General features: G+C 42.3%; 3 non-coding genes and 3 pseudogenes across 3 annotated transcripts, besides 1 other annotated feature; 1 reads left to right on the plus strand and 5 right to left on the minus strand.

Moving 5' to 3' along the window:
- On the minus strand, positions 648–719 carry TRA-AGC23-1 (tRNA-Ala (anticodon AGC) 23-1; annotated as a pseudogene).
- NOP56P1 (NOP56 ribonucleoprotein pseudogene 1) lies at positions 5,417–5,892 on the minus strand (annotated as a pseudogene).
- Positions 11,651–11,722, minus strand: TRA-TGC1-1 (tRNA-Ala (anticodon TGC) 1-1). Its single transcript has one exon. It is a non-coding gene; the product is annotated as a tRNA-Ala (tRNA).
- Positions 11,847–12,046: a silencer, noted in NCBI's record as "fragment chr6:28757743-28757942 (GRCh37/hg19 assembly coordinates)". NCBI's record gives its function as "represses an EF-1alpha promoter that drives an FKBP-Casp9 reporter gene in an ReSE screen in K562 erythroleukemia cells {active_cell/tissue: K562}" and the evidence as "EXISTENCE:reporter gene assay evidence [ECO:0000049][PMID:32094911]".
- Positions 12,603–12,675, minus strand: TRF-GAA1-1 (tRNA-Phe (anticodon GAA) 1-1). The gene has a single exon. It is a non-coding gene; the product is annotated as a tRNA-Phe (tRNA).
- A 5,169-nt stretch (positions 12,676–17,844) lies between these two features.
- TRA-AGC1-1 (tRNA-Ala (anticodon AGC) 1-1) lies at positions 17,845–17,916 on the minus strand. The gene has a single exon. It is a non-coding gene; the product is annotated as a tRNA-Ala (tRNA).
- An 842-nt stretch (positions 17,917–18,758) lies between these two features.
- LOC124901504 (uncharacterized) lies at positions 18,759–18,914 on the plus strand (annotated as a pseudogene).
- Positions 18,915–21,077: the final 2,163 nt, after the last annotated feature.

Consider the following 21,077-nt stretch of genomic DNA (forward strand, 5'->3'; position numbering starts at 1 on the left):
GGATCTTGGACTCTGGAGTTCAGAGAGCTTGCCATTTCAGACCAGAAACTTCCTTAAAGAACCAAGAGAAGTAATTTTCTCCCTGCTAAATTTCAGCTGAGGTGATTGAGATCTTTTCCTCATTTGTCATTATATTTGTCATTTGTCCTTATGTTTGTAGTTAAATAGCTTGGATTAAGTTTCAGAATTTGTCGGTCTCTAATGGAAAAAGTGACCACCAGCACATCACCAGCAATCATCAGCCACTTGTAGTGGAATCTTTTAGTGAAAGCTTGCAGGACTTTTGCAACCTGGGTGAGGAAGCAGTTAGAAGAAAGTAAGAAACGCAAAAGAACTTGAGCCTTAACCTTCTGATCTGAAATCAGACTTAGGTCACAGAATTCAATGGTTTCTGACTATTTTATTTAAACTGGAAATCGGCGGGATGGCAAGGAATACTACTTGCTTCTATAGTGTGTGATCCACATTAGTGATTTGTGGAACTAATTAGGACAGGGGGATAATTCTAAGCAACAAAGAACTGTAAGTGAATGAACACGAATTATCTCCCTGTATGAGAGAGAAATGCAGAGGCCAACACAATTCCCTTGAATAGGTGGGGAATATCATGGAGAACTTCCTAAGGTGGCTCATAGGAAAAAAAAGAGTGGAAATACTGGAAGTTGAACGCAGGACCTCACGCATGCTAACCACGTGCTCTGTCCCTGAGCTATACCCCCGCAGGAGATCAGGAGCTTGGGAAAATGTTTTGGTGATCTCCGTTGCCTGAGTCTGTGCTCTGTGTCATCAAGACAATCACTGTATGTTTCCAATTCCACTGTTTATGAATTCCCGACACTAAGCGCCCTCTCTCTCTCTCTCTCTCTCTCTCTCTCTCTCTCTCTCTCTCTCTCTCTCTCTCTCGGGCATGGCTACACCAGGAGAAAGATATCTTGTGGTAAAAACAAAGGCATTGTTCCTGATGTTCCTGATTTGTGGTCAGTCCAAGATCAACTCACCCCAAAGTGGTCTCCCCATCATATTAGACTTTCTGGAGCATAATTCCATTCTATCCCTTGAGTGACCTCCGGCATACAACATTCTCTTGCAAATTTTCTGATTATAACTTTTTTCTTTTGACTCTGGGAAGCATCTTAGTGTTTCCCATAGTCAAAAAATAAAACTCAGGTATGTGTGAAAATACCCTAAAATTCAGTACAAATAGAGGCAAATTAACTGCATTTCAAAAGAATAACATAACCACATTGAAGAGGAAAGAACTGATATAAGAAAATGGTTTACACAGATTGTTGTTCTAATTGTGAGATCAAAAAGAACATCGAACAAATCTTAAACTCTATGTATCAGGATTATTTTTTGTAGAGTGAGGGCTGTAGCAATTCTGATATTTTGTGTGAATTTTAGGATTGGGAAATCGAGTGTCTGTTGTTGGAAACAGACTCTCACTGTGGGAGAAGAAGGAAGGTAAAGAATAGTCCTGTTGATACTGATGGGAATTAGAGGCATCAGTATGAAATTGTACATATGAAATTGTAAAATTTCCCCACAGATCTATCTGCTAACTGGGCCTAGAAGAAATGATACCTCAGAAGCAATGAGCAAAGATAACTCTGTATCTTGATTTTCAAATACCATTCCCTACTAAAAGGAACCAGAGATACTAATAGAAAGTAGCTATTAGTGTCAACTACACAGACTCCAGGACTGTGCCAGGGAAACTGCAAAATGAACCTAAGATATCTTGCCTTGCCAGAATGTAAGTGCTCAGAAATGACGGGGGTGATTTAAAAGGACACAGAAGCCAGCTTGAAGGGAATCTCACTGGCCAAATCTGACACACTTTTAGCATCAGTGATGACAATAACTGATTATCATTCTTGGGAACTTAAACAAATAAATATGGAGGACGGGACGATTTTCCTTACAGTGGTTTGCCAAATGATAAATGTGAAAGTGAGTGCCGGGCGCAGTGGCTCACGCCTTTAATCCCAGCACTTTGGGAGGCTGAGGCGGGTGGATCACGAGGTCAGGAGATCGACACTATCCTGGCTAACACGGTGAAGCCCCCTCTCCACTAAAAATACAAAACCTTGGCCGGGCGTGGTGGCGGGTGCCTGTAGTCCCAGCTACTCGGGAGGCTGAGGCAGGAGAATGGCGTGAACCCGGGAGGCGGAGCTTGCAGTGAGCCAAGATTGCGCCACTGCACTCCAGCCTGGGCGACAGAGCGAGACTCCGTCTCAAAAAAATGAACAAAGAAACAAAGTGAGGATAAAATTTAAAAATCCCCATTTAAACAATACCATCAGAATGATGATAGATGCAGGCAAAATTTGTAAGTTAATGTTAAAGTATAGGTAAAAATTTGATGAGGATCAGGATATTTACGTAGTCTCAGAGTATTTCCCTGTAGATTATTTATTAATTACAATGAGGAAAATGATAATTTTTCAGGGAAGAAACAGTAATTACAAACTTAAAATCAAGTGATCAAGCTAACTTCAGTCAGCTCATGCCTCTTGGTGTGAGAGAGGGTAATAACGTGATTTCTGTGACATTTCTCCCAAATTCCATAACCCGATGTAATCTTATCATGGCTAATACAGATTAAGAAACGTTGCACAAAACCACTGGAAAAACTCTTCAAAAACATGTCGGTGTTGTGAAAGACAAGAAGATTAAGAAACTGTTCCAAATTAAAGGGCACTAAAGAGTCAAGACAACTAGATTCATATGTGATTCTGAAATGGATCCTAGCTTGGAAGAGAAATTTCTATAAAAGTTTTTATTGGTACAATTAGACAATTTTTAATAGACTTTATATTAGACTATATTCACATTTATCAATGTCAAATTTACTGAACTTGATAATTGTGTTGTGTTAAGGAATTGACCTTTTTCTTAAGAAATACACATTGAAGTATTTAAGAATAAAAAGATATGATGTCTGAAAATCATTATCAAATAGTTTAGAGAAATAATCTTTGTCTGATATATATATATAATACATACTACATATATATGATATGTATTCCAGTATTGTTGATTTGTCATTGAGGAAAAGATGTTTTGAAATTATCCCAAGATTTGAACAATATATGCTTCTCAGATGGTCCCACTTTATTTTAAATGTTGCAAGGCAGAGACAAAGGTACAAATTTCTCAATTTGTATTAGAATTTAGAAGGTGTTTTATTCTATTTTCCTTGTCACACTCCTTGCTTGTGAGTCAATCAACTAAGGACATCTGAAAGAGACAGAGTTTCTTTCTCAGAGTCAGGAGGTAATGAGGGGCTGCTCTGGTAGGGAAAGAAATAGTGAAGTTCTTTTTTGGAGAAAAGCAGCAAAAAAAAAAGAGAGTGACAGGAGAAAAAGAAAGAAAGAATGGAAGGAAGGGAAGGAGGAAAAGAAACAGTAAAGTTGACAAACAGAACTCCCTTCCCTCTTTATTAGTCTTCAGGAAATATAGAGTTTGAAACTATCATAGCCCAGGAAACCCTTTAAATAGGGCCATCAGTAGGCCAGAAATTTTGATTAGTGCCTTGAAAATAAAAGCATAGCCGGGCGCGGTGGCTCACGCCTGTAGTCCCAGCACTTTGGGAGGCCGAGGCGGGCGGATCACGAGGTCAGGAGATCGAGACCATCCTGGCTAACACAGTGAAACCCCGTCTCTGCTAGAAATGCAAAAAATTAGCCTGGCGTGGTGGCGGGCGCCTGTGGTCCCAGCTGCTCGAGGAGGCTGAGGCAGAGAATGGCGTGAACCCGAGAGGCGGAGCTTGCAGTGAGCTGAGATCGCGCCACTGCACTCCAGCCTGGGAGAGAGAGCGAGACTACGTCTTAAAAAAAAAAAAAGAAAAAAGAAAGAAAGTAAAAGCAGAAGTGATTAGACGGACAGGAAACAGCAGAGGAAATGGCTGCTGTTTCACTACAGTTAAAATGTCTTACACATCTGTGAACTATTTGTCCTCTTCTCAGAGGAGGGACACTTTTTTAGGTACTAAAAAAGAATTGTCTGGCACTTCATGGCAGCAACATGTTTGATGTTAACTGACATTTCCAGACATCCAGGTATGATTTTTATTTAGCGACTTTAAAAGAAGGATGAGAAAAAAAACAAAAAAACAAAAACAAACCATGAGCCAGGCGTGGTGGCCTGCATCTATAGTCCCAGCTACACCTACTCAGGAGGCTGAAGAGGAGGCAGGAAAACAGCTTGAGGTCAGGAGTTGGAAGCCCCAGTGCTCTACGATTGCCCTGGTGAATAGCCACTGCACTCTAGTCTGGTCATCAAAACAAGATCCCGTCTATTAAAAATAGAAAGAAAATAAAGGAAGAAAGAAAAGAAAGGAAGGAAGAAAGAAGGAAGGAGCGAGAGAGAAAGAAAGGAAGGAGAGAGGGCAAAAGGAAGAAAGGAATGGAGGGAGGGAGAGATTGACAGAACAGATTAGAAAACATAATCCAACTATACACTATCTAAAAGAAACTCATTTCAAATATAATTATATAAGCAGGCTGAAATTAAGGGGATAAAATATATTACATGCAAAAGTTAATCAAAAGAAAGCAAAAGTGACTATATTAATATAAACTTAAGAACAAAGAAAATCCACCAAGAAGGCATAACAATCCTAAATATGTATACACCAAACAGCAGAGCTGCAACATGTAAAAAAAAAAAAAAAAAAAAAAAACAGGACCGGGCGCGCTGGCTCACGACTGTAATCCCAGCACTTTGGAAGGCCGAGGCGGGCGGATCACAAAGTCAGGAGATTGAGACCATCCTGACCAACATGGTGAAACCCCATCTCTACTAAAAAAAAAAAAAAAAAAAAAAAAAAAAGCTGGGCGTGGTCGTGCGCCCTGTAGTCCCAGCTACTCGGGAGGCTGAAGCAGGAGAATTGCTTGAACCTGGGAGGCGGAGGTTGCAGTGAGCCAAGATCGTGCCACTGCACTCCAGCCTGGGCAACAAAGTAAGGCTCTGTCTCAAAACAAAACAAAACAAAACACCCAGACAGGGCGCAGTGGCTCACGCCTGTAATCCCAGCACTTTGGGAGGCCGAGGTGGGCGGATCACCTGAGGCCAGGAGTTGGAAAGTAGCCTGGCCAACATGGTGAAACCCGTCTCTACTAAAAATACATACATTAGCCGGGCATGGTGGTGCAGTGGCGTGCACCTGCAGTCCCAGCTACTAGGGAGGCTGAGGCTCGAGAATTGCTTGAACCCGGGAGGTGGAGGTTGCAGTGAGCCGAGATGGTGCCACTACACTCCAGCCTGGGTGACAGAGCGAGACTCTGACTCATAAATAAATAAATAAATAAATGTAATACATAAATAAATATTTTAAAAAACAAAAAAGATAGAATTAAAAAAATCGACAAATGCAGTTACATTAGAGACTTCACTTCTCTCTCTCTCTTTTTTGTGAATTTGTTCTTATTGGGGAAGACGGCACAGGGTGGGAAATGTCGCCTTGGGCTATGGTATGCCCCACCTCCCAGAGAATGTCCATTTGCATTCTAATCTTCCTGGGATGCTTTATGGAACTTTTTCTTCTTCTTGGAGCTGCTCTTGCCAGCCGCCTCTTCAGGCCCACTGCTGACCAGCTCCTCTTTGGAGAATTTCCTCGTTTTCTTGGAGCCACTTCTGTGGCCTGACTCTTCGGTGTCATTAACTGTTTCCTCCTTGGGTGAAGACTTCTTCCTCTTGGGAAGACTGGTGCTGCCAGCGGTCTCTTCAAGATCGCTACTCATCAACTCCTCCTTGGAAAAAGATTTCTTTTTCTTGGGTTTGGAGAAAGAGATAGATGGGTCTTCCATTCCATTCTCCTGATGAATCTCCTGGGGCTTTTGCTTTTTCTTCTTTTTGGGTTTTTCAATCGTCTCCTCACACGCTCTGTCGCCCAGTCTGGAGTGCAGTAGCGCAATCTTGGCTCACTGCAAGCTCCGCCTCCCGGGTTCACGCCATTCTCCTGCCTCAGCCTCTGCGTAGCTGGGACTACAGGCGCCCGCCACCACGCCCGGCTAATTTTTTGTATTTTTAGTAGAGACGGCGTTTCACCATGTTAGGCAGGGTGGTGTCCATCTCCTGACCTGGTGATCCACCCGCCTCGGCCTCCCAAAATGCTGGGATTACAGACGTGAGCCACCACGCCCGCGCCATTTCTCTCATAATAACAGAAAAACTACACAGAAAATCTGCAAGGATATTGAAGAACCCCAAATCATCTTCAGGCAACAGAATTCAGTCACCATGTATAGAACAGTCCACACAAGAAAAGCAGAACACGCATTCATTTCAAATTCATACGTAACGTAGATCAAGATAGAACATACCTCATACCTTGGGCCTCAACAAATTTAAAAGAATTGACTGACATAGTATGATCCCTAACCACAATGAAATCAAACTAAAAATCAGTCACAGAAAGACAACAAAAATATCCAAACACTTGGAAAATGAACAACACACTACTAAATATTCCATAGGACAAAGAGAAAGCCTTAGTAGAGATCAAAAAAATAAATTAACCTGAATAAAAATGAAAACACAATGTATCAAAATTTCCAAGACAACTTAATCTCTGAGAGAGAAATTTACAGCACTAAGTGCATACATTAGAAAAGAAAAAAGTCGGCCAGGCGCGTGGCTCACGCCTGTAATCCCAGCACTTTGGGAGGCCGAGGCGCGTGGATTACAAGGTCAGGAGTTGGAGACCAGCCCGGCCAAAAAAAAAAAAAAAAAAAAAAAAAAAAAAAAAAAAAAAAGAAAGAAAAGAAAAAAGTCTCAAATCAGTCCTTTAAGCTCTTACTTGAAGAACTCAGGTGGGGGAAAATAACCCAAAGCAAATAGAAGAAAGGAAATGAGCAGAAATAAACGGAACTGAACACACACGCACAAAATAGAAAAACAAACAAAAAGCTAGTTCCTTTAAAAGATCAATAAAAGAAGACCTCTAGGAGGACTGATAATTTTTTAAGAAGAGAGATGACACAAATTGCCAATATCAAGAATAAAAAGAAGAGTATATCACTATAGACTCTGCTGACATCAAAAGGGTAAATGAATACTATGAACAACACTTTACACACAAATTTGAAAACTTAGATGAGATGGACTAATTCCTTGAAAATCACAAACTATCACAACTCACTCAATATGAAATATATTTTTCTATAACCTTGTAACTACTAAGGAAATTAAATTTGTGATATAAAAACTTTAAAAAAAAAACAGACTCTTCAGGTTCAAGAAAGTTTCACTGTATAATTCGTCGCCCCCGCCCTCCACCCCCTCCCCCAGAAGGAGTCTTGCTGTGTTGCCCAGGCTGGAATGCAGTAGTGCAATCTGGGCTCACTGCAACCTCCACCTTCCAGGTTCAAGCGATTCTCCTGCCTCAGCCTCCCAGGTAGCTAGGATTACAGGCACGTGCCAGCACGCCCGGCTAATTTTTGTATTTTTAGTAGAGATGGGGTTTCACCATGTTGGCCAGGCTGGTTTCCAACTCCTGGCCTCAGGTGATCCGCCTGCCCCGGCCTCTCAAAGTGCTGGGATTGCAGGCATGAGCCACCGCCTATGCCAATGTAGGCATATCTTAAAAGGATACATGACCTGGGGATACTTTGAGTATTCAGATTAATTAATTTTTAAAGTGTTTTTTAAATTCTCCCTTCTTACATCTTCTTTTCCTTCTGCCTTCAAGGGCTGTCACACGAAGAGTAGCGTAGGTGGATAAAAAAACAGAATGGTCAGTACCGCCTGGGGGATTTAGGTCCAGGTGAGGAGGTGAGAAGGTGGAATTCCCAGCTCTTAGAAATGAAGACCCAGGAAGTGGGTCGCTGCCTGTCCTTACCCTCGCCAGCCCCTGGGCCGGCACCGTGGCTGAAACCCAGCATGGATTTCATCTTGGGGACGTTGTGGCTCCAGTTTTGAGACTCAAGTAACGATGGATGGAGAGGAGAACAAGGACCACCTGAGCTCGACCACAAGAGCTCGAGGAGGGAAGCAGGGACGCGGTGGGGTGCGCACCTGCGGCTGCGGCAGCAAAGGCGGAGGAGGAGCGAAGTGGACGAGCACCCGAGGCTGCCAGAGGATCTGGGCAGCCTGGGTGCCCATCTCTGCTGCGTTTCCTCGGTGTCCACGATAGGTGAGAGGGCTCATTCCCTGTAGGAGAAGTGAGCTGAAAACACTTTCCCCGCAAGATCTCCCTCGTTTTACTCAAGGTAGTCGCGGCGTTGAGAACGCCTCGCAGCTCCTTTACTGGCTGGGGTACTGGGGAGCAGGGGTACCCTTGAGTTTTGGTACAGGCGGGTGGTATTGGTGGCTTCCGAGGAAAGGACAGAGAAGCCGCCTATTTCCAATCCCTACTGTTCGTCAGGGGGAGAGTGTTGAACCAGGTCTCTCTAGACCCTCCTGCTTAAGCCCCTTTGTTATAGGTAGGAGAGTGTGTTCTGTTTTGGTATTTGAGTGTGTGTGTGTGTGTTTAGCTTCTTGAGCTTGGAATATGTCATGAAATACAAGAAAGATCAGGGAGTCTCAGTATATTTTAAACTTAAATTGGTTTTCAGAAGTACTTATACCTTGTTCCTAAGGAATTCAGGGTGTCCAGATTTCAACCTGCCTAGCAGTGCGAAGCTCTATGAGTCGAATATCCTAGGCTTTCTTCCATATCAGCAAGCCTCTGAAATTTAGGTTTCTTTCTGGAGAATATCACCCACACTTTGGCAGTGGGCTCCTACATTGCCTACATCCAACTCTTGGAAGCAAGAAGAGTGGGCAAAACCAAGGTCACCACACAAAAGTATATCCCTACACGAGATAAGTGGAAATAAAGCACTGGCTTAGGTGTGGAGAGGAAGAGACAAATGTGAAAACGCAGAAGGTAGACAGACAGAGAACATCTTCCAAGGAGGAAGAGTCTCCTAACCACAAGGAACTCTCTACTTAATGCTGCGAAGATATTTTAATTACATTTTATGCATTAGATTGCTTTTTTTGTTTGTTTTTGTTTTTTGTTTTTGATGGAGTCTCGTTGTGTCACCAAGCTTGAGTGCAGTGGTGCCATCTCGGCTCACTGCAATCTCCGCTTCCCAGGTTCAAGGGATTCTCCTGCCTCAGCCTCCCCGTAGCTGGGACTACAGGCATGGCCATCATGCCCAGCTAATTTTTTATTCTCCTGCCTCAGCCTCCCCGGCCACCATGCCCAGCTAATTTTTGTATTTTTGGTAGAGACGGGTTTCACCATGTTGGCCAGGAATGTCTCGATCTCTTGACCTCGTGATTCACCCGACTTGGCCTCCCAAAGTGCTGGGATTACAAGCATGAGCCACCGCCCCCAGCCACATAGACTGGGTTTTTAACAACTGGATCTTAGACCAGAATATTGGCAGAATTGGTGGGGGCTTGACAGAGAGCAGGGTGAATTCCAACCCTGAGGGTGGAGCAAGAATGATTACAGTGTCTTCCTCAGAGCTTAGAAACTTCCAAGCTCTAAGGAAAGGCCTTAGGTTTCAAATTGAAAGGCCAAAATAGCTTGAGATGGCTCCAGGTATTTTGGCTGGAAAGAGTCTCCTGGCTCTAAAGAACCCCTGTGAGTTCTTCTACAGGAAAATCAGAGGCTCTTGTGTGTGATCTCTAGTCATCTAAAATATTGAAGGTCTCAAAGAGGTAATAAATCCACTCTCATCCTGATGTAATGCAAATACGTCACTGGCTTTCCTACGTGGTTTGAGTTTTTTATTGAAAATAGGCAGGGAACCCCGGGAGCAACTCTTTCTCCTTAGCAAGCATCTGGCCCTGAACTCCTTCTGAAACTTCTAGAGCAGTGCTTCTCAAACTTTAGCATCAGAGTCACTTGAGGGCTTATTCAACACAGGTGGCTGGGTCCCACTCTCATCAATTCTGATTCTGTAGATCTGAGGTTGGGCCTGGAATTTGACATTCCACTAGTAGCACCCTAATCCCTCATGCCTTGCTCTCCTGTGCAGCATCCTTTGTGGCAAACATGACACTATTTCCTTAAAGTGCCTGGAGAGAACCAGTAGATAGTAGGGGGGAAATATTAAGAAATGAAAAGAAAATATATGGCATCTCTTCGTTACCTGTCTCCAAAAAATGCATCTTGAAACAAACATATGATTGGCCTGGGGGCACACAGCCAATCCTCAGCTAAGCAGGTTTCACCAGACAGTATCCCTCCTGGATACTGGTTATGGATATTTTCACCGGATAAAAGAATCAAGAAGTGAGGACATCCCAGCCTGATAGAGTGTTAGACTGGTGGATGGTGACAAACATCATACTCTGTTGCCTCTCAAAGATGCTTTGATTCAACAGCAAACATGTACAGAGGACAGCAATTTTGAAACATACAACATTGGAAACCCCTAAAAGGTATCATCAGTGAATAGGATTTCCTGGGAGTTCCCTGGTCATGCAATGCAATTGTGATGGGATTGACAGAGAAAGAACAAAAAAAATTTGTTTTCTTTTGTTTTTACCTGAGGAAGTGCTCAACACACCTGCGATCCACTCACCTTTTACTTTGCGTCTATTTTCCATTGTGACAGAAAAACTTTTCCTACTTTTTCACATGAGTCCTCCGTTGGCTGTTAACAGAGGTTTCCAGGCAATGTTTTATTTTAACAAGGAAAATGGAATGGCTGAGGAAATACAGGAAAATGAATCAATTGTATCAGTAGGGAATGTTGATCCGTATTGGTTTCTGCTCCTCTCATGTTGAAGGTCTCTTATTCCCTGACAGTCTTTGTTCGGTCATCCAGCGTCCTTCCACTCCCATCTCAAGCGGCTGGAGAGCCACAGCAGTCCTTGTCTCAGTATTGGATTACACTTGTGGCTGTGCTTTCTGCGCAGGTTGACAGGGAGAGACTGGAGGAGAAATCAGTGGACAGATGCTTTCGCTCTGTTCTTTGGCCCAGAAAACAAAACTAAAGTAAAAAAAAACAAAAAACAAACAAACAAAAAAGATGATGCTGGGAGCGGTGGCTCACGCCTGTAATCCCAGCACTTTGGGAAACTGTGGCGGGTGGATCACCTGAGGTCTGGGGTTCGAGACCAGTGTGGCCAACATGGTGAAACCCCGTCTCTACTAAAAATACAAAAATTACCCGGGCCTGATGGCACGCACCTGTAAACCCACCTGCCGAGGCAGAAGAATCGCTTGAACCCGGGAGGCAGCGGTTGTAATGAGCCAAGATTAAGCCACTGCACTCCAGCCTGGGCTACAGAGCGAGACTCTGTCTCCAAAAAAAAAAAAAAAAAAAAAAAAAGAATGGCCGCGGGGCGCTTTTCTCCCTTCTTCTTTGTCTTTCCTTCTCTTTAATCATAGCACAAAATGAGAGCAAATGTGAACCTCCCGTGGATGTGCACACTTTTGTTTGGGTTCAAGAGACCCTGTTGGGATCCCATTCTTCTTTCTTCCTCATTTCTTTTTCACCTTCCTTCTGCCGTCACAATCGCCTTCAGTGATGTCGAAGCTCACGGCATAGAAATGGGTTATAAATGGAGGCAACCCATTGGGTTACGTCTTTACTCTCTATATGTGCAGAAATAGGACAGAAAAAGGTGCGGAGGCAGAAGTAAGTCTATGTTGCTTGAGAATTAGGTTTGAGCACTACCAGAGCAAAAAGTCACCGTTTGGAGGTGCCGGGGATCGAACCCGGGACCTCATACATGCAAAGCATGCGCTCTACCACTGAGCTACACCCCCTTCCTGAAAAAAATCCTTCTTGTAATAATTTCCAGGAGGTAACTTTCTTTTTCTGAGTATTGTGGAGCGTCTGCAGCTGCTGTGAGTAGAAGATACTAGGTACTAACGGGGGATACAAATTATTTAGAATACAGTATACGACTTGAAATGGAAGGCGCCTGTAATCCCAGCTACTGGGGAGGCTGAGCCAGGAGAATCCTTGAACCCGGGAGGCGGAGATTGCACTGAGCCGACATCGCGCCACTGCACTCCAGCCTGGGCATCGGAGCGAAACTCAATCTCAAAAAAAAAAAAAATCACTTCCTAGGTTTCAGACTGTAAATAATTTATTTAATGTCAGCGCTTCATGGAAGACTTCACTGGAATATGCAACCAAAGCAGAGAGTGATGCATATATATATATATGCGTGTGTGTGTGTGTGTGTGTGTGTGTGTGTATTACCTTTATCGGATTTTCAACAGCAAAAAATTGGAGTTCTATACACCTTTCTGGGATTGGCATGCAAGTGTTGTATAAGGGTTGTATCAGCCGAGCGCTGTGTCTTACGCCTGTAATCCCAGCACTTTGGGAGGCCGAGGCGGGCCGATCACCTGAGGTCGGGAGTTCGAGACCAGCCTGACCAACATGGAGAAACTCCGTCTCTACTAAAAATACAAAATTAGCCAGGCGTGGTGGCGCATGCCTGTAATCCCAGCTACTCGGGAGGCTGAGGCAGGAGAATCGCTTGAACTCAGGAGGCGGAGGTTGCGGTGAGCCGAGTTCGCTCCATTGCACTCAGCCTGGGCAACAAGAGTGAAACTCCGTCAAAAAATAAATAAATAAACAAAATAAGGGTTCTATTAGGCAAAACTGAAAGAAAGAAAGAAAAAAAAAAAACCCTGCCGAAACCCGGGATCGAACCAGGGACCTTTAGATCTTCAGTCTAACGCTCTCCCAACTGAGCTATTTCGGCTTCCCGAATTTGTTGTTTTAGGTGTTTCTTCAAAATATAAAAACTCATTTGTAGGGTCAGTATATCTTCCAATTCTGTTGTCTTCAATATCACCTGTCATTCACTCACCCCTTCACCCCCAAAATATAGATTCTTCCCCAATTTATGTCTGAAAACAGGACCCAATTTTAAGGACAATGAATGGGTTAGCAAAAGCCAGGGAAAGAAAAGGCAAAAATGAAGAATAGAGCAAAGTAAGAACATGCTCCCCTACATGGTCACTGCTCAGAATACCAAGGGAATTCAAAAGAAAATTTTCTAGGCTTTTCCTTTTCTCTGGGCTCTTGTTTTTCTGTCTTGCTCTTCAACGATATGGCAAAAAGGAACAGAGGATTATTGGGCACGTTAATGTGGTGGCAGGTTTATAGCTTCTGACTAAGGAAATCCTGAGCGAGAAAATTCATTTTCGCTATTCCCTTCCTTTCACTCGTCTTGTGCTGACACATCCACCTTGGGTGGTACAGAGACCCAGGGAGTGGAAATGGAAAGTATAATATGTTTATTTTAGTGTGACCACGCAAGGCATGTTTTTAAAAGGAGAAAAGTACAGAGTGGCGAGAATTGTGAAAAACAGATGAACATGTATGCTTTTGAACTCTGTGCAAGGCAAGGACACACTACCACTGAGCCACACCTCTCTCGCTACAGAAACATCGTGAAGATCTTTTTTGACGCATTAGTCATATTTCTGAGAGGTCTTCAAAAATATGGTAAGTTGGCCGGATAGAAAATCCACTGTCTCATATCTCACTATTTCTTACCTCTAAACTATATCCCCTGAAGCTGCTAGGAGAAATGTAAGAGAATCACAGACCAGAACACAGTTTCTGCTTTTGGAACATTTCATCCCATCAGTTTATTCTGAGGTTTCCTCTCCAGCAAACTGCCTGGGGGCATTTTCTCCCACAGCCAACAGGTAAGATGTCCAGATGGAACTTCCTCTGGGGTCTTCAACCTGTCTGTCTCCATTTCTTCTCTTTCATCTGCTTACAAAGTTTTTCAAGCCCCATCCTCCTTAAGAAAAGATGATGAGCCACAGTCTAGGAGAAGATATTCCAATACTTATATTTTACTAAGGATCTTTATCTGGAATATGTTAAGAACTTCTACAAAGCACTAAGAAAAAGACTAAAACTTCAATAAGAAAGAGCAAATTAATATGAACTTCACAAAAAATCGCTATTGAGTAAAATAAAATATGCTCGACATCTTTTGCTATAAAGGAAATGCAAATTAAAAACACAACAATGCTGGACACAGTGGCTCACGCCTATACTCCCAGCAGTTTGGGAGGTCGAGGCGGGTGGATCACTTGAGGTTAGGAGTTCAAGACCAGCTGGCCAACATGGCGAAACCCGGTCTCTACTACAAATACAAAAATTTAGACGGCCACATGCCCCTGTAGTCCCAACTACTCAGGAGGCTGAGGCATGAGAATCTCTTGATCCTGGGAGGCAAAGGCTACAGTGAGCCAAGATTGTGCCGCTGCACTCCAGCCTGGGCAGCACAGCAAGACACTGTCGAAAAAAAAAACACAAAATAATATTGCTCTTCATTGGAATCATTTAACCCAAAAAGTGGATAATATCAAGTGTTGCTGAGTATGTGAAGCAATTGGAACGTGCATACATGGCTGATGAGACTGTAAACTGCTATATCTACACTGGGAAACTATCTGAAAATATCAACTAAATATATATATATATATATATATATATATATATATATATATATATATATGCTATGACCCCAAAACTAGACGGTTACATTTATACCCAAGAGAAGTGCATGAGCATCTCCCTTGAAGGACATGTATCAGAATGTTTACAGCAGCATTAGACATTTCAACCAAAAACGAGGGGTGCTGCAAATGTACTTGGACAGTAAAATGAATTAATAAATCATGATGTACAGTATTCAGACAATAGAATACTCGAGAGCAACAGAAAATAACTACTGTTACTAGCAACAATATATAGAAAATGAAGGCTGGGCACGGAGGCTCACGCCTGTAATCCCAGCACTTTGGAAAGCTGAGGCGGGCAGATCACGAAGTCAGGAGATCGAGACCATCCTGGCTAAAACAGTGAAACCCTGTCTCTACTAAAAATACAAAAAATTAGCTGGGCGTGGTGGATGGCACCTGTAGTCCCAGCTACTCGGGAGGCTGAGGCAGGAGAATGGCGTGAACCTGGTAGGCAGAGCTTGCAGTAAGCCAAGATCGCGCCACTGCACTCCAGCCTGGGCGACAGAGCAAGTCTCCACCTTGAAAAAAAAAAAAAGAAGAAAAAAGAAAAGAAAATGAATCTAATTTTTTTAACAAAAATTAAGTGAAAGAATCCATACTCAAATGAGTACAGATTTGCTGTGGTTTGAAAGTGTCCCCTCCAAAGCTTAGGTGTCACCATGTGATAATTATCAAGACATAGGGCCTTTAAGAAGATTAAGCCATGAGGGTTCCTTCCTCATGAATAATATTAGGTACCCTTATAATAAGAGTTGACAAAGGAAGTTCATCTCTCTATTGCCTTCAGTTTTCTGCCATGTGAGAACACAACAAAAAGGCCATCACCAGACATGAGAGCCAGTGACTTGATCTTGAACTTCCCAGCCTCCAGAACTGTGAGAAAATGTTTCTGGGCCTGGTGCAGTGGCTGTCTCCTGTAATCCCAGGGTTTTGGGAGGCCAAGGTGGATGGATCACCTGAGGTCAGGAGTTCGAGACCAGCCTGGCAAACATGGTGAAACCCCATCTCTACTAAAAATACAGAAAAATTAGCTGGGCGTGGTAGCATTCGCCTGTAATCCCAGCTACCCAGGAAGCTGAGACAGGAGAATTGCTTGAATCCGGGAGGCAGAGGTTGCAGTGAGCCAAGACTGAGCCACTGCACTCCAACCTGGGCAACAAGAGTGAAACTCTGTCAGGAAGTGAAGGGAAGGGAAGGGAAGGGAAGGGAAGGGTTCTGTTCGTTACAAATTACCAGTCTTGAGTGATTTTGTAGCAGCCCAAAATAGACTACGATGATATTATATGATCCCATTTATATTATTTAAAACATAAGAAAAATAATCTATGGAGGTGGAGGTCAGAGAGTTAGGATAATTGAAATGAGGCAAAAGGCAGCTGTTGGTTGCTGAAAAATTCAGTATCTTGGCCTGAATTTTGGTTATATATAATAAGCCGTAAGCTGAATAGGTTTCATGTGTTTTATTTTATATAAATGAAGGCTTAAATTTAAATACAAGAAAAAAAAAGGTTTTCCTAAGTACTTCCTATCCTCCAGTACATTCTCTCTCTTCCTTAGGGTTGTTTTGTTTTGTTTTGTTGAGACGGAGTCTCGCTCTGTCGCATCCTCATGATTATTAGGACTTGGATGGACGGGATGGTACAGTGAGTCTAAGCGCCACATCCCTCCGTCGCTTCCTCTGGATATGAGGGAAGAAAGGTACTTTTTTTGTCCTTAGGGAGGAAGACTCGACCAGGAAGGGGACCTGGTTCGTTTCGGCTTCAAGAGCGCCTCTCCGCTATTTCCGTCGCTCAGCAGACCGGCTGAACTCTTTGGAGGAGAGAGTGATACTGGGTTTTGGTTTGCCCTTCAGGAACCGCTGATACTGTAGCTTCTGAGGGAGCTGCAGGGATTTCCCGATTTCCTGCGTGCCTGTGTTAAAAGTTAGAAGCGGGATCTGCTGGCAGCTTCGAAACTGAGCATGACGGTGGAAACATCTAATTTTATTAGTTTTTGCTTGAAATGCAAAAGATGAGAAAGAAAGTTTCCGTTTGTTTGCTCCACATATTTCTCTTAGAATGAAGCCGATTGAAAGTTAACTTCACCCTGAAGAAACTCCTCCTGGCGTTTGCAACGATCTCCTGTATGTCTCACGTCCAGCTTGACTCAAAAGGACTCTAAAGAGCTGGAGAGCGGCTGCGGAAAGGCGGAGTCACGGTACAATCGGTGTTAACTACTTGTGCAACCACCGCCTCCTTAGTCCTATTAGAGGCGCAGAGGCAGTATAGCTGAATCCCTCACAAGTCGAGTGGGTTGACCTCAGATTGACTTTAGCGATGGCTTGTGACCACCTGATAGATAGTGGCCGTTACAGCGTTTAGAAAGTGAGTAAAAGAAAGGATGCATAGGGAAGCCCACAAGTTTGCTTGGCTTCTGCAGATGGAGAGAGGTCGCTTTTCTGCCTTCTGGATGTTTAGTAACTTATTTTTTATTTCCTTTGTTGGCATGAAATAGAGCTGAAAATAAAAGCAGATTTTCTTTTAACAAGATAGTATTAAGATGCTTGCAGAGTATTTCTCTGTGGATTTCTGCTTGGCACTGTGATACCACAAAGAGCTCTAATCTGGAGGTATGGGTTGTTCCCTAGCTTAGAAGGAGGTCAATCCTGGAGAGTAAGTACTGTGAGGTACAAAAGGATCCTTTGGGATTGGAAAAATAAACGTTCATTACTTTTATTTATGTAAAACAGCAAAATGAGCTTTCTCCTATACTGATCTTGGTCCCTGGAGTTCAGAGTGTTTGCATCTCAGACCAGAAGCTTCCTCAGAGGACCCAGAGAAGTGCTTTTTACTTCCACCAAATTTCAGCTGAGGTGAATGCTGTCTTTTCGTCATTTGTTGTGTGTTTGTAGTTAAGTAGTTTAAGTTTCAGAGTTTGTGGGTCTCCAATGGAAAAGGTTACCACCACACATCAAACCATCAACCCCTGGCAGTGTAATCTTTTAGTGAAAGCTTGTAGGGCTTCTGCAACCTGGTTAGGAGGAGTTAGAAAAAGAAACAGAAAAAGACTTGAGCCTTTTAGCTTCTGATCTGAAATCAGACTTGGGCCACACAGGTCTATGGTTTCTGATGATTTCATTTACAGCTAGAAATTGGCTGGATGGCCAGGAATACTACTTGCTTCCCCCGTGCGTGGTCCATGTTAATGATTGATGGGACTGCTTAGAAAGAATAGGCGGATAATCCTAGGCAGCAAATAACCTCAAGTGAATGAACACGCATCACCCTCTGTATGAGAGAGAAATGCAGAGGCCAACACAATTCACCTTGACAGACAGAAAAATTTAAAGTTGGGGAATATCATGGACCGCTTCTTACTGGTGTCCCGGGGAAGAAAACACGGCCTGGAGGTACTGGGGATCGAACCCAGGACCTCGTGCATGCTAAGCACGCGCTCTACCACTGAGCTATACCCCCTCTGGACTCAGGGCCTTCGGAAAACGCTTTGGTGACGGCCAATATGTGAGCCTGCCCTCTGTGTCAGGATAATCACTATATGTTTCCAATTCCATTGTTAATTCCCTACATGAAGCGCTTCCTCTTTTAGGCACGGCTGGGCCAAAAGAAGAGTAGCTTAGCCGGGTGCAGTGGCTTATGCCTGTAATCCCAGCACTTTGGGAGGCTGAGGCGGGTGGATCACGAGGTCAGGAGTTCAAGACCAGCCTGGGCAAGATAGTGAAACCCTGTCTCTACTAAAAATAGAAAAATTAGCCGGGCGTGGTGACAGGCGCCTGTAATCCCAGCTACTCTGAAGTAGAGAATTGCTTGAACCCGGGAGGCAGAGGTTGCAGTGAGCCGAGATCGGGCCACTGCACTCCAGCTTGAGCGACAGAGCGAGACTCCGTCTCAAAAAAAGAAAGAAAGAAGAAAGAGAGAGAGAGAGAGAGAGAGAGAGAGACAGAAACAAAGAAAGAAAGAGAGAAATAAAGAGAAAGAAAGAAAGAGAAAAGAAAGGAAAGTAGCTTAGTGGTAAAAATAAAGGCACTGTTCCTGATTTGTGGTCAACCCAAGATCAACTCACCCCAAGGTGGACTCTCCATCACGTTAGACTTCCTGGAGCATACTTGCATTCTATCATTTGAGTGTGTCCCGGTATACAACATTCTCTTGCAAATTTTCTGATTATAACTTTCTGTATTCTTTTGACTCTTGGAAGCATGTTGGTGTTTCACATAGTCAAAAAATAAAACTGACTCAAGTGCGTGTGAAAATACCTTAAAATTCAATACGAATAGAGGCAAATTCAAATGGCGTTGTCTATCGCTTCTCGGCCTTTTGGCTAAGATCAAGTGTAAAATTGCATTGTGAAACAATAACATACTCCTACTTGAAAAGGAAAGAACTGATCTATGAAAATGGTTTATACAGTTTGTTGTTCTAATTGTAAGATTAAAAAGAATTGCAAACAAATCTTGAACTCTGTATCAGGGTTATTTTTGTAGAGCTAGGGCTGTAAGAATTCTGAGATTTTGTGTGAATTTTAGGATTGGGAAAATGAGTGTGTGTGACCGGGTGTGTTGGAACCAGGCTGTCACTGTAAGAGAAAGAAGGTAAAGAATAGTCCTGTTGGTGTTGATGAGAATTGGAGGCGTCAGTATGAAATTATACATATGTAATTTTATAGGCTGGGCGCAGTGGCTCACGTTTGTAATCTCAACACTTTGGCAGGCCAAGACGGGCAGCTCACTTGAGGTCAGGAGTTCGAGAACAGCCTGGCCAACATGGTGAAACCCCCGTCTCTACTAAAAATACAAAAATTAGCCGGATGTGGTTGTGCGTGCCTGTAGTCCCAGCTACTCGGAAGTCTGAGGCAGGAGAATCGCTTGAACTCAGGAGGCAGACGTTGCAGTGAGCCAAGATCCTGCCACCGCACTCTGGCCTGGGTGACTTAGACTTTGTCTCAAAAAAAAAAAAAAGTAAAATTTCCCTGCAGATCTGTCTGCTAACTGGGCCTGGAAGAAATACCTCAGAAACAATAAGCAAAGATAACAATATTTTGATTCACAAATACCATTCCCTACTAAAAGGCACCAGAGATACTAATAGAAAGTAGCTACTAGTGTCAACTACACTGACTCCAGGACTCATGCCACTGCACTACAGCCTGGGCGACAAAGCGAGACTCTGTCTCAAATAAATAAATAAATATGGAAGATGGGAAGATTTTCTTTACAGTGGTATGCCAGCTAATAAATGTGGAAAGAAGGATAAAATTTGCAAATCCCCATTAGAAAATTAGAAAATCTGGACACCATCAGAATGCTGATAGGTGCAGGCAAAATTATAAGTCAATGCTAAAAGTATAGGTAAAATTTTGATGAGGATCAGGATATTTATATAGTCTCAGAGTATTTCTCTAGAGCTTACTTATTGATTACAATGAGGAAGATGATACTTTTGCAGGGAAGAAATAGTAGTTACAAACTTAACCAAATGATGAAAGCTAACTTCACTAATAATGGGGAAAATTGGCATCACATGCTTCTTGGTGTGATAGAGGATAATATGATTTTTTGTGACATTTCTTCCAATTTCCATAAACTTAATCTTACCATGAGTAGGACAAATTAAGAAATATTCCACAAACCACTGGCATATACTCTTCAAAAACATTATCAAAGTTGTGAAAGACACAATTGAGCAACTGTTCTAAATTAAAGGAGACTAAAGAGTCAAGACAATTAGATTCATATGTGTCTGTGAAATGGATCCTAGCTTGGGAGAGAAATTTCTATAAAAGATTGTATTGATACAATTAGTTAAATTTTTATAGATTGTATATTAGATAATGCTATTTTATCAATGTTAAGTTTACTGAATTTGATAATTGTGCTGTGTTAAGGAACTGATCTTGTTTTAAGAAATACACATTGATGAATTTAGGGATTAAAAAGATATAATGTCTGAAAATCATCAAATAGTTTAGAGAAATAATCTTTGAGATCTCTCTCTGTGTCTCTCTCCATATATATATATGGAGTGTATATATATATATATATATATATATATATATGGAGTATATATATATATATATATATGGAGTATATATATATATGGAGTATATATATATATGGAGTATATATATATATATGGAGTATATATATATATATGGAGTATATATATATATATGGAGTATATATATATATATGGAGTATATATATATATATGGAGTATATATATATATGGAGTATATATGTATATATATATGGAGTATATATATATATGGAGTATATATGTATATATATATGGAGTATATATATATATATGGAGTATATATATATATATATGGAGTATATATATATATATATTCCATTGTTGCTGATTGTTTGGTTGAAGAGGCAAGATGGTCTGAAATGATCCCAAGATGTGGACAATATGTGCTTCTCATGTGGTTCCCATTCCATTTTAAATGTTTCCAGGCAGAAACAAAGATACAAATTTCTCAATTTGTATTCAAATCTAACAGGTGTTTTATTCTATTTTCCTGTTCACACTCCCTGTTTGGGAGTCAATCAACTAAGGACATCTGAAGGAAACAGAATTTAATTCTCAGAGTCAGGAGGTGATGAGAGACTGCT

Source organism: Homo sapiens, chromosome 6, assembly GCF_000001405.40.
Source record: "Homo sapiens chromosome 6, GRCh38.p14 Primary Assembly".
NCBI lineage: Eukaryota > Metazoa > Chordata > Mammalia > Primates > Hominidae > Homo > Homo sapiens.